The following is a 27,024-nucleotide window of genomic DNA, read 5'->3' as shown; positions in this document are numbered from 1 at the left end:
GTCTCAAACTTGTGATCTCAGGTGATCTCCCCACCTCGGCCTCCCAAAGTGCTGGGATTTCAGACATGAGCCAGTCACCCAGCCAGGCACCATATACTGTTAACATGTATACAAATTGCTGCATGTTTCTGGAAAGCAGCTTGGCCATATGGTATTAAAAACTACAACACAGGCCTAGTAATTCTGTTACTACTCCATAGTAATAAAAACTAGTTTAATGTGTCAACTGTTGCACTAAGACCTGACCTATGTTATCTCATTTACAATATTTCAACATCTTTAAGAGTACATCCATTATTATCTCCATTTTACATTGAGGAAAGTGAGGGCCAGAGGGTTGAGTAACATGCCCAAGACCGCACAACTGGCAAATAGTGGAGCTGGGACTTGTCTGATTCTGGCATCTGCGTTTGTATCATAAGATTGAGTTGGGGCCTGGCACGGTGGCTCACACCTGTAATCCCAGCACTTTGGGAGGCCAAGGCGGTTGAATCACGTGAGGTCTGGAGTTTGAGACCAGTCTGACCAACATGGTGAAACCCTGTTTCTACTAAAATTACAAAATTAGCCGGGTGTAATGGCACATGCCTATAATCCCAGCTACTCGGGAGGCTGAGGCAGGAGAATCGCTTGAACCTGGGAGGCAGAGGTTGCGGTGAGCCGAGATCGCGCCATTGCACTCCAGCCTGGGCAACAAGAGCGAAACTCCCGTCTCGAAAACAAACAAAAAAAACAAACAAAAAAAGATTGAGTTGGATGCAGACAAAGATTTACAAGTCATCCCAATGTTATTTACAGGATCATTCAAGAGACTACAAATGACCCAAATAAGAATGCGGGTCTTCTGCCAGCCTCTTCCTCACCCAACAACATGGAATCTGATATAGTGAGAGCAAGAAGGCTCTCTTTACAAACTAGAAAACTGTCTAAATGCCTGACAACAGGAGGTTGCTTAAAGTCTGCTGCTTTTCAAGGCATTTATTGAGTACCTTCCTGTGCTAGGTACCATCTGGACACTAGAGATTTGCAGCTTCTTTAGCCAGGTTCTCAAAGACTATATTGTCTGGTGGGAAAGACCAAAATATGAAGAAATCTGTTTAATGTAATGTAGTCAGCGCCATGATGGGGTGCTAAAGGAGCACTGTGGGCTGGGTTTAGCCTGAGCTGGGGCTTCACCTCATGGAGGAGACAGAACCTGAGCTGAGTCCTAAAGAATAAAAGATACCAAGGCGGGAGATGGTGAGATGCTCCCTCTCCTCTCAGGCAGCACAATTCTGTGTCCACCTTTTTAAAAAAGTGAACCTTGTAATGCCTCACCCTGGGTTCCTAGCGCTGATTTTATCATGGACCATGTGAGATATTTTGTGGCCATTAGATTATTCATGAACAGGTTATACATGAAGCTAAATTTTTCATGAATAATTAAGAAAATGTGAAAATGCTCATGATAAGCTAAATGGTAGGATATAAAAAATTTCAAAAGCAATTGGATCCCTATTATATACAGAAAATATATTTACATTTAAAAAAATACACACCTGATAGGCTCAGGAAAAAGACTGGGAGAAAGTCAGCTATCTTTGTGGGGAGGTATCATAGATGGTTTAAAAATGTTCTTTTGGAATTTATTAAACTTTAAAAAAAAGAATATATGTTACTTTTCTATTCAGCAAAACAATGGCAAATAAAATAGTTTGAGGATGCTTTCCCATGCTAACCAGGTTCCTTTGCAGGTGTTCCAGAGGCCACTGGCTTCAAGGTTGTCCCCTGCCCTAAGCAGTATAACGAGGTGATTCCAGAAGCCCTGCTTATGGAAGGTAGGACTGGGGCCAACTTCCTGGTCCCCCTCACCCCTTTCTTCGTCCCTTCCCTCCAGTGGAGAGTTGGTGCTGGAATGGTGAGCACCTGCAGACTGCTAGCAGAATCCAGTGAGGGCACATGTACAGAGAACATTCTAAGAAGGAGGTGCTGTGGGGGTTTCCTAGGGGCACAGCTGGTTAGGGATGTCAGGTCCTGCACAGGCAAATAGCACGTTCCTACAACACAAGTGCACACCCCTCTGTCAAAGGAGCTGCACCAGGCCTGCGTCCACCACACCCTGTTTACGTGCCTATGGAATGTGGTTCATTCAAGGCTGGGGCTGATGTCCTAATCCTCTGAGCCCTTGGTCCCCACCCGATCTAGTCCAACTAGCTCAAGCTGGAGAACATGTTTTGGCATAAGGGGGTGGGGTGGAGATGAGGGTGGGGGTCTGCCACTCTGTCCCCTCCTCCTCTCAGTCATTGGTCACACTGCTGCTATCCAACCAGGAGTGCCTGTTATGGGGTCTCAGTGGGAGGCACTGGACACTTCTTTGTGACGTAAGGACAATGGGGAGGCTTGAGAAAGATCAGCCTAGGAAATGTGCTCATGGAACACAGGTTGGATCACGCCACGCCCAATGTCTGCAGGAAAGGATCCACATTCTTGAGCACGGCCTTCAGGGCCCCACCCAATCTGACCTGAGTCTACCTTCCCAAATGCCCATCACAATTTCCCTGCCTCCAGTCCTTCCCCATCCCTAAGACTCAACACTTCTCTGCTTCCTGAAACACTTGATTTTCCAGGAATGGAGGCCTCCTGCTTGAAAGAGTATTATCCTCTTTATGAACTGACTTTCTGGCTATCTACCTAGGTGTCTTAAGAAGACTGCAACCTGTAAGTGGTCACCATGGGTGCCGTGGCTCACGCCTGTAATCCCAGCACTTTGGGAGGCAGAGGCAGGTGGATCACCTGAGGTCAGGAGTTCAAGAACAGCCTGGCAAACGTGGTGAAACCCTGTCTCTACTAAAAATACCAAAAAAAAAAAAAAAAAAAATAGCTGGGTGTGGTGGCATGTGCCTGTAGTCCCAGCTACTCTGGAGGCTGAGGCAGAAGAATTGCTCAAACCCGGGAGGCAGAGGTTGCAGTGAGCCGAGATGGCACCACTGCACTGCAGCCTGGGTGATACAGTGAGATTCCATCTAAAAAAAAAATAAATAAATAAGTGGTCAAATGTGAGGGAAAGAGACAAGGCAAGATGGGAAAGAGAAGAAAGGAATAGAGATCAGATTCCATCCCCTAGAAGATGATAGTCTCCCTGGTGAGACTGAACACGCTAGGATGCAGTGGAGAAGGGTACCAAGCACCACGGGACACCTGTAGATGGAGGGACATCCTGAGGGCCATGGCTAGTGTGGAGTGGCCCGATAACGTAGCACCGATTCCCACCTAGTTCTATACTTTACCCAACCTGAAAAGAAAAGACTCATCCCTCCAATCCTCTGACAAATGGTTATCGAGGGATGACTCTGGTCCCAGTTGCAGTGTGACTGGCAAATTCCAGTTCTGTGTGGGACCAGACAGGTCAATGAGTGAGGCACTCTTATGACAGTAAGATGCAGTGGGGAATGGTGCTGTAAGGAAAGGCATTCCCCATCTAAAAGCATGTCCTTAACTAATGCTCAAACACATCATCTCAGTGTTTTAAAACCCCTGAGGGTGAATGGGACAGAAAATGACTGCCACTTTTTTGGAATTTGCCATCTAGTGGGAAAATCAGCTTACCCAACAATTAAGGCACTATGATAATCTATATTTCAATATCTATCTATCTGTTAATGTCTATCTCTGTCTCTATATCTGTATTTCCTATATGGAGAGAGGGAGCGAGATAGGCACAGATAGGCAGACAAGAGGTGGGAAGTGGTGTCCCAGTTGAGACCTGGAAGATGACTAAGACTTAAATAGTCCTGGGAGTGGTGTTAATGGGGAAGCCAGGTGTTGGGAGCAGCTGTGTGAAGGGGATTGGATTTTATCCTCTGCCAGCTCACTTATCTTAAATTCCTTATCTCACAGAGCACTTTGTTCTTGCAGCCTTTTCTTTGTGATAAGCACTAGTGTTAGGCAATAACTGGTAGGGAAAAAAAGATTAATTTTTACATAGGTGGGAGATGAAGAGGGTGCTTCCAGCTGGGTTCTGCCTGTGCTATTTAGTTTGCCCTGGGGTGAGGAAAAAAATGTGTCTCTCAGGACACATTCTATGCAGAATCAGAAAAGGAAATGGAAAATAACATGTGGGGTGAGAGGTTTAGGAGATAAATTTCAGGCATAGGGGATCTTTTCTATGCTCCTATCTCTGAGCAAATGATATTAAAGTCAGAATATAACAGCCCCTCCCTCCTTCCTCCTACAACCCATCTTGGGAGTTTTGTCCCAGTAATGTAACAGTTTTCAATGTTTGGCCCGTCGATCCCTGGAGATAGGGGAGGTCAAAACTATTTTCACAATAACACTAAACTGTTGTTTATCTTTTTCACTGTGTTGACATTTGCACCGAAAAGCACGGCAGGTCAAACTCCTGGCATCTTGGGACAGGCAGAGACAGCAAATGGGACAGCACTCCTTGTATTCTCCATCACCAGGCGCTTGAAGTAATGGGAATGCCAGTTTCACTTAAGAATGCCCTTGATAAAGCAATAGTTACTTAGTAACATTACTATGTTAATTAAATCCTGACTCTTGCTTAACTATATCTTTTTAACATTCTCTGAGATGAAATGTGAAGTCACATCGTCACATCAAGTATTTCTGCTGTGTATTGAACTACAAGTTTGCCTGGAGGAAAAGCACATATGTGATTGAGTTGCGAGCTGAACTAGCTGCCTTTTTTTTTCTTTTTCTTTTTCTTTTTCTTTTTCTTTTTTTTTTTTTTTTGAGACGGAGTGTCTCCCTCTGTCACCCGGCTGGAGTGCAGTGGTGTGATCTTGGCTCACTGCAAGCTCTGCCTCCTGGGTTCAAGCGATTCTCGTGCTTCAGCCTCCCAAGTAGCTGGGATTAGAGGCACGTGCCACCACACCTAGCTAATTTTTGTATTTTTAGTAGAGATGGGGTTTCACCATGTTGGCCAGGATGGTCTCGATCTCCTGACCTCGTGATCAGCTCACCTTGGCCTCCCAAAATGCTGGGATTACAGGCGTGAGCTACCGTGCCCGGCCTTTTTTTTTTTCTTTTTTAAATGAAACACTGTTTTTACTTGAAAGGATAATTGTCAAGCAAACTATGGTTATTCAGGATTGAGTATTTCACAGATATTTTCTTGCAAGTGAACAAAGTTAGCCTGTCACTTCACTGAAAACAACTGTATTTGTTGCCAACGATGAAATTCAAGCTTTCAATTGAAAATTAGAATTTTGGAAAATTTTTGTCTATCATGAACTTGACCCTTCCCTTCCCTTCCCTTTCTCCCCTTTTCCTCTCTTTTTCTTCCCTTTTTCCTCCCCTCCTTTCTTCCTCCCTGATAGGATCTTACCCTGTCACCCAGGCTGGAGTATAGTGGCATGATCAGGACTCACTGCAGCCTTGACCTCCTGAGCTGAAGCAATCCTCCTGTCTGAGCCTCCGAAGTAGCTGGGACTACAGGGACTGCAGGCACACGCCACCACACCCGACTAATTTTTCTTTTTCTTTTCTACTTCTTTTTTTTTTTTTGGTAGAGACGGGATCTTGCTAAGCTGGTCTGGAACTCCTGGAGTCAAGAAATCCACCTGCCTCAGCCTCCCCTGCTGGGATTACAGGCATGAGCCCTCACCATACCTGGCTTTGGCAGTTTCTTGGTACCTAAAGACTTTTTTAGGAAATTGGTAACAGTATCAGTCAATGTGATTTTTTGATGTCATATAATGAAATGTGTCAACACTGAAGATCTGTATAACTCGAGGAAGCAATATTTCCCAAATGGCAGTGAATGAGATTACAAAATCATGCATGCAAAAATGCATTCAAAGTCGAAGATAGAACAGCAGGTTTTAACATAACAGTACCAAAAGTTCATGGATGTGGTTTCAGATTCTCCATTCCAGCTAACTTTTAAGAAACCATAACTTGTGGAGTTTTGGAATAATATCAAAGAAGAATACCCACAATGATCTTAAAAGGCTATTAAAATACTCACTTCTTTTCCAACTACATATCTGTGTGAGGCCAGATTTTCTTCATATGTTTCAACTAAAACAAGATATTGGAACAGATTGAACACAGAAGCAGATATGAAAATTTAGGTGTCTTTTAAGTCAGACATTAAAGAGATGTGCAAAAATGTAAAATAATGCCACTCTTCCTAAATTTGTTTTTGTTTTGGAAAATACAGATTTTTTTATTAAAATTTGTTATTTATGTTAAACATTTATTACTGTTATTTTTAAATGGATCAATAAATGTTTTCCAAAAGTTTTCAGTTTCATTTTTCTTTTTTTCTTTTTAGAGATGGAGTCTTGCTCTGTCGCCCAGGCTGGAGTATAGTGGCACAATATCAGCTCACTGCAACTTCTGCCTCCTGGGTTCCGGCGATTCTCCTGGATTGAATGCATTTTGAATGCATGATTTTGTAATCTCATTCACGGCCATTTGGGAAATATTGCTTCCTTGAGTTATACAGATCTTCAATGTTGACACATTTCATTATATGACATCATTTCATTATATGACATCCATTGATTCTCCTGCCTCAGCCTCCCGAATAGCTGGGATTACAGGTGCCTGCCACCGTGCCCCACTAATTTTTGTATTTTTAGGAGAGACAGGGTTTCACCATGTTGGCCAGGTTGGTCTGGAACTCCTGACCTCAAGTGATCCGCCCACCTTGGCCTCCCAAAAATGCTGGGATTACAGGCGTCAGCCACCGTGCCTGGCCAGTTTCATTTTTGAATAGGATAACTGTGATAGATATGACACATACTCAGGTGCTCTTTGGGGTCTTCAATCTTTTTTTTTTTTTTTTAAAGGGTACTGAAACATTTGAAACACCACCAGATGGCGCTGATGAGACCAAAGAACAGATTTTGTGTGCGTGAGAAAGGAAAAGATGGAGAGAGAGAGGGAAAATATGAAAGTGGGATCATAGTAGTGAGTTTTATGATGTGAAATTTCCCAATGGCAGTGATATTTGTAGTCGCTATAGGGAAAAAGTGACAGGCTTGGGAACCTAATCAATAGGTTTCTACAATCTAAATTAGATGAGTAGATTTATGCCAAATAATATGTTGGGCCTTTTTTTTTTTTAACTTCCTCTAACAAAAGCTAAGCACATTCCTTGGAGGAGTTCCCTGCAGCCTCAGAAACTCAGCAGATTAAACTGAAAGGGTTCAGTCTTTTCCATTTTGTGTTGCTAATAAGATAACATGAATCTCTGAGGCTTAAAGGTGAAATTTAGGCAGAGTCATTCCAGGAAGGAGTGTACTATAGAAACCTCACAGCCTGCAGCTTATCCTCATGGGTCCTTGGAAGCCCTAAGTGGGGAGGAGGAAGTTGGAGTGGAGGCTGCTGAGGTGGGGACGGGAGAGGCTGCCTCTGAGATAGAGTTAGCTGGGTCTCTGGGTGACAAAATTGTATAAACGGCAGAGCTTTGTGTGAGGAACTATAAACAGGCATGGGAAAACTTGGAGCCAAATTTATTTTTCTTTCAAGGGCTGTCGGAAATAGCTGACAAAGGCCAGAATTCTTTTCCAGAGCTGAAGTTTTTATTGGCAATGCTCTTTTAAGGGCCACTAATAAGAAGAAAAGCAAGAGTCTGACCTGAAGGTTGGCTTCATAAGTGGGTTTATGAGCTGCTGAAGAAGTGGGTGCAGTGGGGTATCAACCCTCCCTCCCCTGCAGGCTGGGGGGGTACTCACATATTCACAAACACTTTTGGGAAACCCACTATGTCTGCACTACGCACTATGCAAGGTGCTGGAGCTACAGCGGAGACTGAACTAGACATGGTCCCTACCCTCAAGAGGACTTGTTTGACAAAACAAAGTCAATACTGAAGAAATCTAAACATTTTCATGCCAATGCCCCCACCCCCTACCCTGCCCCACAACTGAGTTTTAAAGTGTTTTCCTAGTCCACTCGGCTCATTCTCCGGTAAAACATAATCAGTGCAACTGGCCCAGTCAAATGGCAGGTTTTCCACATGAAGATGAGAGTCAGCATGATACTGAAAGGGGCTCAGAAGGGCAGGGGTGCTGCTTCACCTTGACTGCCTTTTCTTCTTGCCCTTCCCCCTTCCTGCCCTTCTTCTTCCTACAAATATTTATTGAGCATCTGCTAAGTGGTACATGTTGAGACAACAAAGTTGGACAAGACATACTTTGTCCATAGCCCGGTATGTGGAGCTTACATGTATGTAAATGACAATAAGAAGGGAATTGCAAATTGTGGTTAGAGGTATGAAGAGCATAGGGGATGGAAACCAATTTGAGATAAAGATGGTCAGATAAAGTCACTACAGGAAAGTGATTTTAAGTCAGGATTTCTTAACTTTGGCACTTCTGATATTTTGGGTCAGACAATTCTTTGCTATAGGGGACTATTCTGTGCATTGCAGAATGTTCAACAGCATCCCTGGCCTCTGACCGCTGGATGCCAGTAGCACCCCCTGACTTCCACTTATGACAACCAAAAATATCTCCCAACATTGCCAAATGTCTCTTAAAGGGCAACACTGCTCCCTTTTGAGAACCGCTAATTTAACCTGAGACTTAAAAATGATGAGCTCATCCAGAGAGGATTGCACTGAGGGTTTTATAGGCCACAGTAAAGAATTTGGGATTTATTCTAAGTAGAAGGCAATCAGCATTTTCCACTGGGGTGTCATTACCTACTGTGAATTTTGAAGAGATCATTCAGGCGGTGGAGTGGAGGATGGATTAACTGGAGTCATAGACAAAGTCACAGCAGTCATAGGTGGCTGTTGCAATTGTCCACCCAAACCCAAGAAATGATGGTGGCCTCAGTTGGGTGTTGATACTGGAGATGAGGAGAAGATTAATGTTCAACATTTTCAATGTTTCACATTTCCAAGAACATCCAGGTCTTGCCAATAGATTTGATGTGGAGATTCCATCCCTAAGAATACCCCCACAGTGTTCTCTTTGCTCCCTGAGTTCATGGTGCTCTGTCCCTCATGATTCTGCTTGATGGTGAGTATTTCTTAAGCAATGGTTCCTGCTCATAAACCTGGAAAGGTAGAGAAAGCAGCACTGATTAATGAATGAAGGCCAATCACGGCTAGATCCCAATACTTCACTTCCAACTTTCAAAGCCACTGATGAGGCAAAATCCACTCAGCATCCCCAATGTAGTTGAGGAATCTTGTGTTCCTCAGTAGGGATTAATGGAGGCATAGTTATCTGGAAGCTCAGAGTGGGAATAAGCAAAGCTGTTGGTTTGCATGACACTTGGCCATGGGCCTCTTGACAGAAGCTGGAGGGTGACTGACAGGCATTTGGGATGTGGGGACTGAGGCTCTTTGGTGAAAAGCAGTGTTCCCAGGAAAGTGGGTGAGCAGCAGGGACAAACTCTTAACAACATATTAGAGGCACAAGTAAGGCCTGTTTGTGAGTTTGTTTTTAATTGCATAGAACATGGTTGCCAGGATTTTAAATTGTAGTGCTCTAAGCATGTAATTAAGCGAGAAGGCTTAGTTGGCACCAGTTGGGATCCCAAGTTGTTGATGCAGCTTATGATAATGATCTTCTGATATTAAAATTCAGAAGCTGAGTGTGTGTATGTCCCAAGCCCTATTTGTATGTTTTTCCTCTGGGCCTCCAAGCTCCAGGTAAAAATAATCAGGCTCCTTAAGTGTGTTTTTCATTGTTGGTGTGAAAATCCCTGTCTAGGTCTCGGTCTGGCTTGTGGCAATGAGGTTCAGGTGAAGAGGTTTCTGGATCTGAAATAAAGGTCGATCATCTCAGCCCAGTCATGAGCCATCCCAGTCACTAAAATGCTCCATGCAATCTCTTCTTCTGCCTAAAATCACAGGATTTTAGAGCTGGGTGTGAACTGAGCAATTATCTTCTCATTTTCTATATGAGAAATCTGAGGGCCGGAGTCATGAACTGACTTCCTCAAAGCCACTCAGCTGATGCATGGCATCAAGAAATAAACAGGGGCCAGGTGCAGTGGCTCACACCTGTAATCTCAGCACGTTGGGAAGCCAAGGCGGGTGGATCAACTGAGGTCAGGAGTTCGAGACCAGCCTGGCCAACATGGTGAAACCCCATCTCTACTAAAAATACAAAATTAGCCAGGCACGGTGGTGGGCCCCTGTAATCCCAGCTACTCGGGAGGCTGAGGCAGGAGAATTGCTTGAACCCATGAGGCAGAGGTTGCAGTGAGCCAAGATCACGCCATTGTACCACTGCACTCCAGCCTGGGTGACAAGAGCAAAACTCTGTACAAAGAAAGAGAGAGAGAGAGAAAGAAAGAAAGAAAAAGAAAGGAGGGAGGGACGGAGGGAGGGAGGGAAGAAAGAGAGAGAAAGAAAGAAAGAAAGAAAGAAAGAAAGAAAGAAAGAAAAGAAAGAAAGAAAGAAAGAAAGAAAAGAAAGAAAGAAAAAGAAAGAGAAAGAAAGAAAAAGAGAAAATAAAAGAATCAGGCCTGGAACCCAGCGCAGAGTCCCTTCTTGTGTAACCCTGAGGTCCCTCACTGAGCTCCAGAGCAGTCTCTCACCCTCCCTCCCCTACCTCCTTCCACATAAATTTGCACCCTCTTTGAAATCAGTGGCTTGTTTTCCCAGTCTTTCTGCCGGAAGTGTGATGGCGACCCTGCTGCAGAGGTTTCACGGAGAGAAAGAGGGAGCATCACAGCTCGGTAACCAAAATGCAGTGTGAAATGGTAGGAGACAGTTCACTCTTCAAGTCATCAGGGAGACATTTCACCTGGCACAAAGGCAGCTTACTTAGTGGACCATAATGGCCTGGAAGAGTTCCTGCCCCTCCCTGAAGTGAGCAATTTCCTCTGTTCAGCTCTGTCTGCACTGGCCCATTATATCCTAAACACACGGTGCGTTTACCTAGCAATTATCTGGAGTGGGAGCCAGCCCTTTCAAGAGGTCCTCTTTGATCCTTCCTAGGAATATCCTGGGAGGTGGGTGGGCAGACGGAGGGCCTCTTGCTGGAGGAGGGAAAGTAAGGCACACAGAGGGTTCCAACAGTGTCCCGGAGTCAGGACTGGGTCTCTGGGACCCCTGGCCACCTAACCCCCACCCCTGCATTCTGCCCTCTTGGACTTCGCTGCTGCCCTGGCAGGTAGAGGACTTTAAAGAATCCCAGCTTGCTCCTCCCCAGGCCAGTGAAGGAGGTGCTTCTTATTAGAGGTGGATAAAGGTAAAGTGCCTGAGGATCTTTGGGATGGAAAAGCTTTTGTGCTCATTCGAGGTCCTGGATATCTTGGATGCCCTACGTTCAAATGCTCTGTTCTACCTGCTTGTAAGTTCATGTACTTATTGAAATTTATATTCTGATTTTTGATTCCGAAGATAGAGACATTACACTTACTTTGAAATGGAATTCTTCACCCCCACTACCTGATATCCAGTGTTGGACCACACAAAACCCTCTTTAGAAAGAACAGAATCAACTCAATCACACCAGCCTGTCATCTAGGGTGCCTGCAATGGGGCTGAGCAAGGACTTGGGAACTAGTTCTGAGTTTGAATCTCAGCTCCCAGCACCATAATTAAGGGTGTTTTCTAATTTCAGCGCCCATGGCTCCTCCCTGCACTCCTGTTTCAGAGCACTCGCCTCCAGGCTCTCCTTTGCTTGCCTCGGGGCCTTTCCACGCACGCTTACTTTTCTCTGGAATGCTCTTCCCTGTGAGAGCCACAAGCCTACCCCCTTCCCTTCTTCAGACCCTTGCTCAATGCCATTGTAGCGGCGTCATTTGTCTGGGGTAATATGCGAGCTTTGTTGTCTCACACCAGGGAAATCAAGGACGCAGATGCACAAGAAGTGAGTTTAAGAGCAGACATTTAATAGGCGAAGAAAGAAAAGAGAATAGTTCTCTCTCCTACAGAGAGAGAAAGAAGGACTCCTGAGTGGGTTTTCTGGTTCTGTGGTGAAATGCATGGAGTTTTATAGGCGAGCTTGAGGAGGTGGTGTCTGATTTACATAGGGCCTGCGAGATTGGTAGGACCAGGTGCACTATTCGCATAGCGCACAAAGAAGCTGGCCATCCCACCCTAATCTTTTATTATACAGATGGAGTCTCTACCTGGCTGGCATGGGTTGCCTGCCTTTCTACTTCACATGTGGTTACAAAGAAAAGGGAAGAGGGAACCTCCCATGTTGAACACACCTGGCCCCCAGGTAGCCTTTTCCTATAGGCACAGCTGCCGGCATTTACCTATGCAAGCTTCCAGCTTGCTTATTTATGTCTGCAGATTGATTTTACAGGTGGCTCTTTGTTAGAAAAGAAATGATTTGGGGCCTGCTTTTTGTTAAAAGGGAAGCCTGACTGAGGACTCTCTTACCCTCATCAACTGCCTAAATAATTTCTTTTTAGCTTCTTTATCACCATCATGTGGAGGCTTTCCATGACCACTCTCTCTAAAACTGCAACCCTCCCCTCCCTCTCTCCATCATCTCCCTTGTTTTATGTCTCTCAATGACACTTATCTCCCTCTGGCATTTCATATAATTCACTTGTACTTTTTGTTGATTGTCTGTCTGCCCCAACTACAATGAAAGCTCCATGAGGGCAGGGATTTTTGTTGCCTTTATTCATTGCCATATCCCCAGAGTCCAGAATGGAATCCAGCCCCTTGGTAGGAGCTTAACAAATATAAATGAATACATAAATTTGAGCAAGTAACTTACCAAGCTCATGTCCTGTCTCTCTTAAAAGGATGGCATGAGAATTAAATACAATATCATTGCTATAGGGAAAAATAATGGCCAACATATATTGAGTGCTTATTCAGTGCCAGCTTTTAAATGTGCTAAGTGCTTTACATAAATCACCTTATTTAGTCCCCACAAAAATCCTATGAGGCGAGTATTCTTTTAACCTTCATTTTACAGGTGAGGAAACTGAGGCTTAGAAAAGTTGGGTCACCTATTCAAGGTCACGCAAAATTCAGACCCATATTTGTATGAGCTCAGAACCAGTACTATTTTTTTTTCTTTATTATTTTAAGTTTTGGGGTACATGTGCAAGATGTGCAGGTTTGTTACATAGGTAAACGTGTGCCATGGTGGTTTGCTGCATCTATCAACCCATCACCTAGGTACTAAGCCCCGCATGCATTAGCTATTCATCCTGATGGTCTCCTTCCCCCACTGCCCCCAACAGGCCCCAGTGTGTGTTGCAGAACCAGTACTATTGACCCCAACAATGTATGGCCATGGCCTTGTGTGTAACCATAGCTTGACTAGTGCTAATTCTCTTCTCCAAAGCACATAGCGCAGCAGACCTGCACTGTCTGTCTGGCCTCTTCTTTTGGGAGCCTGTTCCTTCTGCTGATACCTGACATCTTGGAAGCATCCGCTGGTCTCAGGAGGCAGTGTGGTGTGGCAATGAGATGGCAAGTTTATTAACTGGGTGACCTAGGTTCTAACACCTCCTTTGCCCCCAGATTACTGTGTGATCTTGGGCAATTGCTTCCCCTCCGTGGGCCGGGTTCTGATGGTATAATGAGCACTGAGGTCCCTCCCAGCTTGAACAGTGCTGGGACTATTGGAGGACTCCACAGGGGTGTGTGGTTTGTGACTCATCTCAGAGGATCCTGCCCCCCCAGCTGTGGCCTTGGCCCAGATCTGCTCATGAATGTAGAGTCTCCTGCTTTGATGATTGCTGGGCTTTCCCTCCCACACCTCTTGAGCTTGAATTTCAGGTTGCTGGATTTGAGTGGGAGGTTGGAGGAAGTAACCATCTAGTGATTTTCTAATCCCTTCTCTAGGGGAAAGCCCAAGAGAAAGAAAAGGAAGGCATGAGAATCATTCCCACCCAACATGGCACAGAGTCATTGCAGGAAATACAGTTCTCTCTGGGGAGCCCAGCACCCTGCAAACCTCAGGGACTGCTATAGCAAAGGACATCTGCCCAACAGCCTCTTTCCCATTCCCCAGACCTGCCTTCTGCCAAAAGCGTCCCAAGGATCCCCTTCTTCACTGACCCTAAAACTGTCTCATTTGAATTTCAAGTTCTTTTGTTGTTGTTGTTTGTTTGAGACAGGGTCTCACTCTGTCACCCGGGCTGGAGTGGCATAATCACAGCTCACTGAAGCCTCGACCTCCCAGGCTCAATTGATCTCCCCACTTCAGCCTCCTGAGTAGTTGGGACTACAGGTACACGCCACCACCCCCGGCTAATTTTGGTATTTTTTTGTAGAGAAGGGGTTTCGACATGTTGCCCAGGCTGGTCTCAAACTTCTGGGCTCAAATAAGGTGCACACCTCGGCCTCCCAAAGTGGTGGGACTACAGGTATGAGCCACCATGCCAGACCGAGTTTCAGGTTCTAAACTGAGAAATCATTTTTTTCTCCTTGTGAAATGGAGGATGAATAAGCCAAGCTAGGCAATGGCTTGAGTTGTTTTCCTCAATTCATTTATTCATTCATCCATTCATTCAACATTTATGTGCTAGAATCTTTGCCAGAAACTAAAAGAGGAAATTAATTGGGTCCTGGCAAACTTAAATTGGGTAATTGGTAATTTGAGGAGAATTTAATAAAGAGACTATTTTCAAAGGGGAGGGCAGAGTGCAGGAAAACAAGGGGTAGTGCTGTCTCTTGGAGCCAGTAACATCAGGAAGATATTATCAAGCCTAGGCTGAAGGGATAAAGGGAGAGACAATTCCCAGAATCCAGAAGTAATGAGTCAGATGGAGAGGGCCACTGGGCAGAAGCTGTGCTTTGGTTGAAGGGCTCATCTAGCTGGTGAAATGATGACCTTGACCTTGACTTCACCCTCTTCTCTGCAGTGGCTGAATTCCATTTATGTATTTACTGCAGGTCAGCCTCCTGGGGCTCACAGGAGGGCAGAGAAGGGCAGGGAGGGGATATGGAAGAAAAAACAGATGACTTGTAGCACAGAAACCAGACAGTTTCTGTCCCCAAGGAGCCTGCATACAGTGGGGGAGCAGCAGTGCAAAGCTGAATGAATGCTTTAATAAATATATGAACAAAGTATAAGAGGAGCACAGGTGTTAGGAAATGAGCTGTCAGGAAGGGGTTAATGTGCCTGAAGGTGAGGGAGACAGTTGGTTCCAGGGAAGAAGATCCAGAGGAATTGGTTCTCAAGGGCTGATTAGGCTTCTTCAAGGAGGTAATGTCTAAACTGAGATTTGCAATATCAACAGAAATTAGCCAGGAGGCGTCCAAACATGGTGAAAAACGTGTAAAAGCTGGAGGTATAGAGTATAGAGCTCTTTGGGAAACTGTAAATGAAGAATAAAGAGTGTAAGGTGTGTAGGGGGTGGGCAGGAGATGAAGTGGAGTAGAGAAGAAGGACCCAGGGGTGAAGAATTATTTTGCCCGACTAAGGACTTCGAAAATGTGTCTAAGGCCAATGGCAAGTTTTTAAAAGGTTTTCATCAGAGGAGTGGTAGCATTGTGTTTATGTTTTAGAAAATCACTTTGATTGAGGGGAAAAGAGTGGGTTAAAGGCAGGTGGATTAGAAAGAATATTGTTTTTGTAATCTAAATGAGAGATGACAGCAGCCCAAAATAAACTGGTAGAAGAGGGGATGGAAAAAGGTATTAAGAAGTCAAACTGGATGGGATTTGGGGACTGAATATAGGAATTTAGGAAGACTTTAGTTCTGGGGAGATGGTGATATGGTTCACTGAGATGAGCTTAAGAGAAGGAACAATGTGTGTGTGTGTGTGTGTATGTGTGTGTGTATTGAGGAGGAGAGTGAATCATGGTGGAGAAGATGTAGGGGATTGACAAATTATCCAGTTTAGAGCATATTGAAGTGATGATACTAGGAGGATAACCAAATAGACCTGTTAGTGCTTTTTTTTTTGAGGTGGGGTCTCACTATGTTGCCCAGTCTGGAGACCAGTGACTATTGACAGGCATGATCATAGTGCACTGCAACCTTGACCTCCTAACCTCAAACAATCCTCCCTGCTCAGCCTCCTGAGAAGCTAGGATTATAGGTGCACACCACCATGGCTGGCTCTGTTAGTGCTTTGGACAAGCTGTTTAGAAGAGGTGTGAGTGGAAGCTATGGATTTGAGAACCATCAGATGCAAACGATGATTGCAGCAGTGGAGTCCATGAGATCACCGTGGAAAGAGCTTAGAGTGAGGAGAATAAGACTATAGAATGCTGACTTTTAAAGGATGGCCGGAGGTAGAGGAACTCAGGAGATGAAGGAGTGGCCTGAGAAGAAGGAAAAGAACTTAGAGAGAGTGGTCTTAACAGCCAAAGAGAATATTGAGTTCTAAGGGGAAGCAAGAGGAGGAGTAACATGTCAAAACATTGCTGAGTGGCCCTGTGCACAGGAGTTAGTTAACGGTATGATTAGCCTTTCTCTTTCTGAGTCTTTTAATCAGATAGATAAGAAGTATTTCCTGGGCATCTATAGTATGCTTATTATGGCTAAATTGTGTCCCCCCTACAAATTTATAGGTTGAAGTCAGAACCTCCTGTTCCGCAGAATGTGACTGTTTGGAGGTAGAATCTTTATCTATCTGCTTGGGCTGCCATAACACAATACCACAAACTGGGTGGCTTAAACACCAGAAGTGTATGTTTTTCTCAGTTCTGGAGACTGGAAGTCCCAGATCAAGGAGTAGCAGGGTCCGTTTCTGATGAAGGCTCTCTTCTTGGCTTGTAGATGACTGCCTTCTCTCTGCGTCCTCACATAGTGGATGGAGAGTGAGTGATGTGTCTTCTTTCTTTATTTTTATTTTTTAAGACAAGGTCTGGCTCTATCGCCCAGGCTGGAGTGCAGTGGCGCAATCTCAGCTTATTGCAACCTCTGCCTCCTGGGCTCAAACGATCCTCCCACCTCAGCCTCCTGAGTAGCTGGGACTACATATATGTGACACCATGCCTGACAAATTTTTGTATTTTTTGTAGAGATGGGGTTTTGCCATGTTGCCCAGGCTGGTCTGGAACTCATGACTTCAAGCAATCTGCCTGCCTCAGCCTCCCAAAGTGCTGGGATTGCAGGCATGAGCCACTGAGTCCAGCAGATGTCTCTTCTTATAAGGACACTAATCCTATCAGAGAAGGGTTTCACCCTCATGACCTCATCTGACAATAATTAATTCCCAAAGGTCCTATCTCCAAATGCCAGCAACATATGAATTTTAGTGGGGATACAAACATTCAGTACCTAACATTTCCCAATATTTGTTCTCTGATCTGTGATAACAGAAGGTTCAGCTGGGCACTTTGCCACATAACTAAAGATATTTCTGGGCCAGGTGCAATGGCTCATACCTGTAATCCCAACACTTTGGGAGGCTGAGGCGGGAGGATTTCTTGAGCCCAGGAGTTTGAGACCAGCCTGGGCAACACAGCAAGACTCTTTCTCTACAAAAGAAAAAAGAGAAGAAAAAAATTAGCCAGGCATGGTGGTGCATGCCTGTAGTTCCAGTTGCTTGGGAGGCTGAAGTAGGAGGATCACTTGAGGTGGGAGGATGGTACCACTGCACTCCAGCCTGGGTGACAGATCAAGACTCTGTTTCTCAAAAAAAAAAAAAATATATATATATATATATATATAAACTATATATATATATAAGCTATATATATATATAAAAACTATATATATATAAGCTATATATATATATATATATATATATATATATATATATATATGGTTAGAGCATATTGAAGTGATGGTACTAGGAGGATAACCAAATAGACCTGTTATTACTTTTTTTTTTTTTGAGATGGGGTCTCACTATGTTGCCCAGTCTGGAGTCCACACTGGCATGATCACAGTGCACTGCAAACTTGACTTCCTAACCTCAAACAATCCTCCCTGCTCAGCCTCCTGAGAAGCTAGGATTACAGGTGCACACCACCATGGCTGGCTCTGTTAGTGCTTTGGACAAGCTGTTTAGAAGAGGTCTGGGTGGAAGCTATGGATATATATATATATATATATCTCCATGGAGATATATATATATAATATAGCTATGGATATATATATAAATATATGTATATATTTCGCAGTCTCCTTTGTAGTTGGGTGTGATCATGTGACTAGGCTCTGGCCAATAGAATGTGAGTGGAAGTGATGTGTACAGCACCGCAATGGTACCCACATAAGGAAAGAGGCATATTCTCCCCTTCCACCCTTCTTTCCTTCTTGCTGCCTGGAAGGGCAGACATGTGGTGGTGGGAGCTGGAACAGCCATCTTAGACCATAGGATGGAAACCTTGTGTTGAGGTTGGCAGAACATGAAGCTGGAAAGAGCCTGTACACCAGACACCACGTGGGCACTCTATCAGCCAGGACTGATTTTATGTGGACTATTACTTGTTTAATCCACTATTATTTTGTTCCTTATAATAACAAGTAAATGGCTATTCTAATATATCTAGGATGGGGCTAAACCATGGTAGAATCTCCGGTTTGTACTGTACACAATGGGCCCCATCCCATTGTGCTATTATCATGTGCTAGGTATTGTGTTAGGTCTGTGTTACATATTAGAATTATTTTATCTAATTCTCCCAATGGCTCTGTAAGGTAGGCATTATTAGCCCTGTGTTAATGTTGAGGAAACTAGGCTTCAGAGAAGTTATGTCATTTACCCAAAGGAGCTCTGTCAGTAGGTGACAGAGTCAGGAGTTGAATCTAGGTCAGTGGTTCTTAACCAGAGGCAACTTTGTCACCCAGGAGACATGTGGCACTGTTGAGAAATTTTTGGTTGTCACAAGTAGGAGTGGGGAGGGATGCACTCAAGGGTAGCAGGAATGCTGCTGAACATGTAAATATGCACAGGACAGGTCTCACAGTGAGGAATTATCTGGCCCCAAATATCAACTGTGCCGAGGCTGAGAACCCTTGAGGACCCGTCTATGAAAAACTCGGGCTCCTTCCATTACACCAAATTGGGAAATGGAAGTTAAAGAGGGAGTTATGAAAAATAATAGAGAATAATGTCGTGAAAATAATATTTTAGGAAGCTAAACCTGGAGTGGTGAGAGGAATGAGCTGGAGATGGGAGAAACTGAAGCTAAGAAGACTATTATTGGAAGCCACAGACTGGTCCAGGTGAGAGGCAGGAAGGACCTGGAGGGGTGGATGGCTGAGGTCCATAAAGGGAAGACAAGTTAAGTGCCAGTGGCAAGAACTTGACTGACAGCAGGTAGAGGATGCCAGAGGCAGGGAGAAGTGAAGGCAGACAAGGCAGTGGTGATTTCTCTTCTCCATGTGCATCCCCTCTTCCTCCCCTTCCTCCTCCTCCCCTTCCTCCTCCTCCCCTTCCTCCTCCTCTTCCTCCTCCTCCTCTTCCTCCTCCTCCTCTTCCTCCTCCTTCCTCTTTCTTCTCACCCCCCTCCTCTTCCTCCTTTCCCCTCTTCCTCTTGTTCCTCCTTCTCCTCCTCATCCCCTCCTCCTCCACTTCTTCCTCCTTTTCCCCCCATCCCTCCCTCTTCCCCCTCTTTTCCCTACAGCTCCCTGCCCCATTGGCATCTGCTTCTATCTTCCTTCTCGCTAACCCCTTTGTCTAATGGGCATGCTCTGTTTTCCGCTGACCCCTAGTTCTAGGCCATGGGTCCCAACCCCAGCAAATGCATGGAAAAATCTTGGTTTCCTCAGCTTTGTTCACTGTGACAAGAAAGAGTGAGCTCCCACAGTGACAGCAACAGACTCTGACACATCTTTTCAATCTTACTTCTCTTTCCATTTCCTTTAAAACTTTTGGCCTTAAAAACTTTGACCAGTGTGTAGGATTGTTATAGAGACAGACAAGTGGTCCAGGAAAGAAACTCAGGGAATTTCCGACATGAGGGAAGAGGAAGGAAATCCTTTGTCTCACATTTGTTGTTTCCTTTGGAGTGTTTTCCAAAGGACACTGGCCTGTTGACAAGGCATCCCAAGGGCTTTGGGGCTGGCCCTTCCTTTTCCTTGTCCCTGGTCTATGTCTGTCCTTGTAGCCTGGTGCCTGCTTCAGGGCTGGGAGCTGGGGTTGCCAGATGTGCTCTGAACCCTGCTGGCAGAAGCACTTGTGTTTGGCCTCTGTCTCTGCTTCCCTGCCCTTCTCTTCCCCAGGTCCTCGGTAGCCCTGTTGAAAGGCCAGTGGCTTCTCATGCTTTCAGAAAAATTTAGACAATAAAGAGGCTGCAATGATGAGCTGATTGCTTTCAGGCTGACAGCTAAAGTCTGTGTCGGCACTGAGTCAACCATCAAGAGGGAAGGTGAGCACCTTCCAGCTAATGCTGGGTTCCCAGCTCCTCCCATTGGCTTGTGAGACGTGCTATGTCCATTTTGTCTCTTCTCTCCCTTCAGCCTGTGTGCATTCCTCTCCTCTGGGCCCACTGCTCACCTGCTCTCATTCTGTTCTTTAGTATTCTGTTCTCTCTCTCATCCCACACTATCTTCAAAGAGAGCCAGGCCTTGGAGAACGGAGGGAAGTCCAAGTTCCCCTTTGGCTTCTGACTCCCAGTGTCCCCTTTCTGTGCCCTTTGCTCACCCTCTTTCCAGGATCTGCCTCCTCCATGCTTCTCCACCCATAGCATCACTGCCTATTCCTAGGAAGGATTTGGATACCAGTCATGTGTATCTTCAGCAGCCTCATGGCATGATGTTTTGGAACACACATGCACTTGGGAACTTAGTAGCTTGGGTTGAAATCTGGGCCCTGTTCCTTACATGCAACTTTGAATATGTTAACAAAAGTCTCCATGGGCAAGTTTCCTCAATCTGTAAATTGGGGCTAACAGTATATATCATGTGATTGTGAGGATTAAATGAGTAATGTATGTAAATACTTTGGACAGTGCCTGGCACTTGAGGAGTTTTATAAAAATTAGGTATTACTACCATATGAATACAAATGAATGTGCTGTACCTCAATAAGGAGATCGGTGAGTAGGAGAGGCCCCCTTCCGTGCCATGGCAAGCTCAATCAAGGGCCACCATGGGGTGACCAGGCTGTGGGAATGGCCAGATCCATGCGTGCTGCCATCAGCATGGCCAGGTGAACGTTGGTGATGACCAGAAAAGGCTGAGCCAAATGCTCAAATCAGCACAGTGGGCTTGAGACTTTGGGAGCCACTGTGGAGAAGAAGAGCACAGTTGAGATAGGGAATGGAAGGTAGGTTCTGCACAGGCAGGCGTGATGTCATTCCTCCTGTCACTGGGCTGCAGGGTGAGCATCAAGCCAGCCATGCAGGAGAACAGAAAGTGCACCCTGCTGTAGAGGGGTGTGGGGGTGTGTGCATGGCCAAATAGAAGACGTGTTGCTTCCCTAGGAACCTGCTAGCGGACTGGTAGGAGGGACCGCAGTGTGTGAAGCACTGATTGCCAATAAAAACCATTTCGTTGTCACCTCCCTCCATATCCTGTGCCCTTGTTCTGGTCCTCAATGCAATTCATAGGCTTTTCTTTCCCCTCCCAGGAAAGGTCCCTGGGCAAAGCCTGTGACCACAGCCACACCTGTAGGTGTGTGAATTACCGTCTTCTATGTGTCTTCTTTGCTTTCTCTAAAAGGGAGGGATGGAAAGCTTTTCTTTTTAATTTTTATTTTTTTGACAGGGACTCACTCTGTCTCCTAGACTGGAGTGCAGTGGTGTCATCATAGCTCACTGCAGTCTCTGCCTCCTGGCTCAAACGATCCTCACACCTCAGCCTCCTAAGTAGTTGGCACTGATAGGTACATGACTGCCATGCCCAGCTTTTTTTTTTTTTTTGTAGAGATGAGGTTTCTCCATGTTGCCCAGGCTAGTTCTGACTTTTATGAAAGACACAGTATCATTACCCAGCAGGATGACAGATGTTAGAGATCCAGGACCTCCTCCTGGTGCTCCCTGGCTCAGTGGTGGGGCTATCTTCCCAAGGGAGAAGTGGCAGATGGCACACAGGGTTCCCCCGCTCAAGGCTTTTGGGGCACCGTTCATCCTGGGGCATCACTCACATCTGCAGTCCCAGGAGTTGCACAGGGTGCAGATTTGCCCGGGGACCCCAGCCTCAATTGGGCTCAAAGGGACTCTGCCTCAGGATCCCTTCCTCCCTGTTCTTGGCTGTCTTTTGTGAAGAGCTGTGGGTGGGGGAAGGTGACCGTGGGGACTGAGAGCAATCAAATTGAAATGCAGGGCTAAGAGAAGCCATTGCTTTGGGCAGAAAGAGAAAATTCATGGCAGAGGGAAGAGCAGGTCCCAAGCTTCCCCACCACCCCCCATGTCCCCGCTCTCACCTCAAGCTTCAGAGGGCAGGATCCTGCCTTGGAGATGATGTACCAACACAGCTACCTCCCCACCAGTTCATTAGGAAGACAAATGCCTGAGCCAAATTCCTTAGGATTTGCCAAGAACCAATTCCTTAGGATTCTTTTTCTGGCAACTTCCATAGCATTGCCAAGCTAATGGAGGGATCCCAGGGATATATCTGATGCCTGGAGCAACAGGAAATGCGGGAGCCCACAAGACGATCAGTCAGGTGTGTGCACCTAGCACAGTGGCAATGCCCAGTGTCCTGATACAGACCTTTGTAGTTCCCTTGGGCTCAGGAGGAACCATAATGCCAAATGACACAGTCACATGGAAGGGCAGGGCTGCAGCCACAGTGACTCAGCAGGAAAAGAGTTAGTTCCCCAGAAGGATCTAGCTTGAGGAATATCTGAGGCCAGAGTGTAGCGGTTGGTCTGTTTGCTTTTACATTCTGCAACCCATTTATTGATAAAACTGTTGTGTTTTTCAATGTTAAGTAAAATGCTATGCAAAAGTATCCTCAAGCCAAGTCCCCTAGCTCCAGGGGTGATTATCAAAATAATGCCAGAAATTAATGTTTTTATGCAAGGATGTCGAGGAGGTCCTGGAGTCCAGGGGAAGGGGCCTTGGGTGGTTCAGGGTAGTGCCATTTACCAGCCTGGAGGAAAAGCAGTTTAATATTTTCAACAACCTATATTGATACACATGTGTTGGCTGAATGTCAGCCCTGCCTAGCCCTCACCTCAAACTGACCCTCACCTCAAACTGAAGCTTTATTGCATAAGCATTGTGGTACTTACTCTTGCCTGAATATTGAAGAAACCCCATTCCTCATCTCCAAATCCCTCATATGGCTGTTTCTCCAATGTGAGTTTCAGAAGACTCTGAAGTGTGAGAAATCTCTCTGCTTTGACCAGTCTTTTGGGCAAGGCCTCATGTGTCAATAAGGGTGTGTCTCCTTCCTTTCCAGCTCAGTCCCAACTATTTTCTTTCATATAACACGTACTGTCCAGTGGAACTTCTTGCTCTTTCTTTTCACACACACCCTAAGCATTCATGTCTGTAAGCCTTTGCTCCTGCAGTTTCCTCTACCCGGGTGCCTTTTTCTCTTCTCTCCTTGTGTCCAACTCATGGTCATCCTTTAAGGCCTTTGCAAATGCCACCTTTTCCAGGAAAGTCTCCAACTATTCCTCTCTTCATAAATGATCTCTCTCTGTCCTGTGACATCTTAAAACAATTTTTTAAAACTTCAGTATGGCACTTTAGAATTTTGTCATCATCATTACTGACATCATCAACATCATCATTATTTGGCTGGATTCATTGAGAATCTACTATGCGCCATGAAAATATTCTGTGCTCTACAGTCTCATTTGCTTTTCTGTCTTGTAAAAATAATTATGTATGTATGTATGCATGTTTTCTTCCTTTCTAGCATACAGTAATAAAGCAAATGGAATTTGGAATCAGATTTGGGTTTGGACCCGAGTTCCATTATTTGGTTGTAGGACTTTAGGCAAATTACTCAGGCTTCCTAAACTTCAGCTTTCTTGTTGGTAAAACACTGATAATAACACTTACCTCATAAAGGGTAATTGTATTACATCAAATAATAATAATAATTGCCAGCATTTGTTCAGTGCATATTATATGCTGGGCAGTGCTCCAAGTACCAATTCTGTATTATTTAATAATTTAAATCCTCACAGTAACCCTATGAAATAACTAATAGTACCCTTACTGTACGGAGGGAGAATCTAAGGCAAAGAAGCCAGTCAGTGGAAAGCTAGAATAAGAATTTTGACTTTAGAATCCTCACTTTTTTTTTTTTTTTTAACTGAGTCTCACTCTATTGCCCAGGCTGGAGTGCAGTGGCACTACCTCAGCTCACTGCAACCTCTGCCTCCCAGGTTCAAGCAATTCTCCTGCCTCAGCCTCCCGAGTAGCTGGGACTACAGGCACCCGCCACCATGCCTGGCTAATTTTTGTAGAGATGGGGTTTCACCATTTGGCCAGGCTGGTCTCAAACTCCTGACCTCAAGTGATCTGCCCACCTCGGCTTCCCAAAGTGCTGGAATTAGAGGCGTGAGCCACCACGCCTGGCCAGAATCCTCCCTTTTAATCATTACCAACAAATGCCTCTGTAGGGTGGATGATACCTGGCCTGGGCTGGATATTGTCTGGACGGTACGTAGCCCAGTATCTGGCAAGTATTTCAAAATTGGCAGCTGTAATTCTTATTCCCATTCTTACTGCTCAGGGCTGGGGTCTATCCTGTGCATCTCTGTTTCTCCACAGCACCTCATAACACTAAGAGCTTGCATTTGTTTAGCATTTTCCATGTGCCAGGGACTGTGCTAAGCCTCTAGCCCTAGCAAATGAATAAATGAGTGATTGAATAAATGAATGAATGAAAAGATTAGACAAAAGCTCTTGAACAGTGGGCAAAGACTATCTGAAAAGAGGATTCATCCCTTCCAGTTTACTTGCCAGGCAAAAAGATGAAGGGATGGAGGAGAGGCCTCCCAGGGACCTGAATAACTCCCAGTATTCATCAGTATTTTCATTAACGACTTGAAAGATGGAGTGCAGAGTATGCTAATCAAATTGGTGAAGCCTGCGAGGCAGAATAGAAGCTGAGCACTTATGAGGGAAGCTGGAGCTTGCAGACAGTACTTGACAAATTGGAGAAATAAACAGAGTTAATAAACAGAGCTTCAGGAGCTGCAGACTTCAAGTGGCTCCAAGGGATCAGCTGTCACTAATGGATTTGCCCAGAGAGATCTTTGACCCTCTTTTCCTTGGTCTTTGCCTGGCTTGACTGCATCTTTGGAGCAAGCCTGCCTGAGGGGTACACAGTTTCCTTGATGAGGGGACTTATTTGGGCCTGGAAGCCTGATGGGCAAAGTCCCCACTTCAAAAGCTAAGCTGTCCCCACACTTCTTCCTGGCCTGTGACTTGCTCACCTAACCCATCTGCCTGGCTGTGTCTCCATGGAGAGAAGGGGCTGGCTCCACCTGCTCCCCAAAAGAATCAAGACTCAGTAAAACCATAAACTGACCCCACATTGCCTGATCCCTACCCACCAAAATGGTGCTGCCCTTCTCTACTTCCTATACATTCCTGTCGTCAACTTCTTTTCCCATTTGAGGCTGCCCTGGAGGTGATTCTGACCTTGGCTTTTCTTGGGAAAATGTACTGGCGTGAAAGGAGGGGAAATGAGACAGTGCGATCTGCTGGGGAAGCTCCACCTCTGCCCTGCCAACCTCTAGGAAGAAGACAAAGTCTGAGTGGTTTGGCAGTTATAGGAATGTGCAGGCGTTAGAGTCCCAGCTTCATCCTTCTTAAGTTACGTGGTGTTAGGTAAGTTTTTTTAGCTTCTCTGAGTCAAGCTCTTTTGGTTACAAACAATTGAAAGACACTTGGTTTATCTTTTTTTTTTTTTTTTTTTTTTTTGAGACGGAGTCTCGTTCTGTCGCCCAGGCTGGAGTGCAATGGCGCAATCTTGGCTCACTGCAGCCTCTGCCTCCTGGGTTCAAGCAATTCTCCTGCCTCAGCCTCCCGAGTAGCTGGAACTACAGGTGTGCACCGCCACATCTGGCTAATTTTTTGTATTTTTTGTAGAGACGGGGTTTCACCACGTTGGGCAGGATGGTCTTGATCTCCTGACCTTGTGATCCGCCCATCTCGGCCTCCCAAAGTGCTGGGATTACAGGTGTAAGCCACCTCACCCGGCCTTCTTCTTTCTTGATTGGCCTCAGGGTGCCTATGACCAGACACTGATGTTCCAGTCCCACCTTTATGAAGAGGCTAACAGGGAGGACAAATATCTCTGTATCCAAATCCATATTTCTGGGAAAATGATACTGACTGGCCCCACTAGAATCAGGTTTCTACATTGGCCCAATCAGTCAGGGCTGGCCTGAGGAGTGGAGGGTGGTGTTGCTGGGTACCAACAGGCCAGCAAGGGCCCATCTTTTTGGGTAGGTGAAAGTTCTCAGAGAAGAGAAAATCACCCAATTAGGTGTTCAATGCAGTCTCTGAGCCTCAATTTTCTCTTGTGAAAAATGGGGATAATATTACATGTCTCATAAGAATTGAATAAAATATTCTATGTAAAATGCTTAGCATAGTGGCTGATACATAGTAAGGGCTGCCAGTTGAACAATTGCTCTTTATTCAAGATAAACCTCACTGGAGTTGGTAGGAAGATCCCTGAGGTAGTGTGGGCTTGGGAGGGGAAGGGTAGCACAGAAGGCACAGGCTGGAGCGATGAGAGTGTGAGGAATGCATCTCCATTCATTTGTCCACTGGGGGAAACAGGGTTGTAAACCATCGGAGGTGTGGACACGCAAATGTTGTTCCTTCAGGAGGCCTGACTCCTAATTCCCAGCTGGAGAACAGGCCAGTGCTACCATGTCATGGGTTTAAGCACCCAAACCATCCGTTCATTTATTCTTTCATTTAACAGATATTAATTGAATACCTACTATGTGCCAACCTACTAGTTGCTGGAGATATAGCATATTTGCATTCTAGTAGGAGAGAAAGACAGTAAATAAAGATAAACAAGTAAAATATATGTTACTGGCAAGTGCTAAGGAGAAGGCATAAAGTGGGAAGAGGTATGTGACATGTCAGCCAGGTAAGTGAATGTTAACATTTTAAATGGGGTAGCCAGGGAGAGCCTTACTAAGAAGGTATCTTTTGATTAAAGACCTTGAAAGAAGTGATGGAGCTAGTCATGTTGTCTGGGGGGTGGGGGTTAGGGTGGGGAAAGATAATTTCAGGTAATGGGAACAGCCAGTGCAAAGGCCCTGAGGTGGGAGCCTGCTTGGCA

General features: G+C 45.3%; 1 long non-coding RNA gene across 1 annotated transcript, besides 6 other annotated features; it reads right to left on the bottom strand.

Annotated features, from left to right (window-relative positions):
- Positions 1-8,874: 8,874 nt before the first annotated feature.
- On the bottom strand, positions 8,875-22,330 carry LINC01269 (long intergenic non-protein coding RNA 1269). The gene is made up of 4 exons (NR_125769.1): positions 22,172-22,330; positions 20,828-21,033; positions 17,241-17,333; positions 8,875-9,018 (listed from the first exon to the last, which is right to left on the bottom strand). It is a non-coding gene; the product is annotated as a long intergenic non-protein coding RNA 1269 (long non-coding RNA).
- Positions 9,967-10,016: an enhancer, noted in NCBI's record as "active region_8661". NCBI's record gives its function as "activates an Ori minimal core promoter by ATAC-STARR-seq in GM12878 lymphoblastoid cells {active_cell/tissue: GM12878}" and the evidence as "EXISTENCE:reporter gene assay evidence [ECO:0000049][PMID:35858748]".
- Positions 13,671-13,870: an enhancer, noted in NCBI's record as "active region_8660". NCBI's record gives its function as "activates an Ori minimal core promoter by ATAC-STARR-seq in GM12878 lymphoblastoid cells {active_cell/tissue: GM12878}" and the evidence as "EXISTENCE:reporter gene assay evidence [ECO:0000049][PMID:35858748]".
- Positions 21,613-22,112: an enhancer, noted in NCBI's record as "H3K4me1 hESC enhancer chr14:71165633-71166132 (GRCh37/hg19 assembly coordinates)". NCBI's record gives its function as "activates a minimal SCP1, AML or CMV promoter by ChIP-STARR-seq in primed H9 embryonic stem cells {active_cell/tissue: H9 hESC(primed)}" and the evidence as "EXISTENCE:reporter gene assay evidence [ECO:0000049][PMID:30033119]".
- Positions 21,613-23,220: a biological region, named in NCBI's record as "MED14-independent group 3 enhancer GRCh37_chr14:71164525-71165724".
- Positions 22,021-23,220: an enhancer, noted in NCBI's record as "MED14-independent group 3 enhancer chr14:71164525-71165724 (GRCh37/hg19 assembly coordinates)". NCBI's record gives its function as "activates an origin of replication core promoter dependent on BRD2, BRD4, P300/CBP and CDK7 cofactors, and independent of MED14, by STARR-seq in HCT116 cells {active_cell/tissue: HCT116}" and the evidence as "EXISTENCE:reporter gene assay evidence [ECO:0000049][PMID:35650434]".
- Positions 22,113-22,614: an enhancer, noted in NCBI's record as "H3K4me1 hESC enhancer chr14:71165131-71165632 (GRCh37/hg19 assembly coordinates)". NCBI's record gives its function as "activates a minimal SCP1, AML or CMV promoter by ChIP-STARR-seq in naive and primed H9 embryonic stem cells {active_cell/tissue: H9 hESC(naive and primed)}" and the evidence as "EXISTENCE:reporter gene assay evidence [ECO:0000049][PMID:30033119]".

This window comes from Homo sapiens, chromosome 14, assembly GCF_000001405.40.
Source record: "Homo sapiens chromosome 14, GRCh38.p14 Primary Assembly".
Classification (NCBI taxonomy): Eukaryota; Metazoa; Chordata; class Mammalia; order Primates; family Hominidae; genus Homo; species Homo sapiens.
This window is presented reverse-complemented; position numbering and strand designations above follow the sequence as displayed.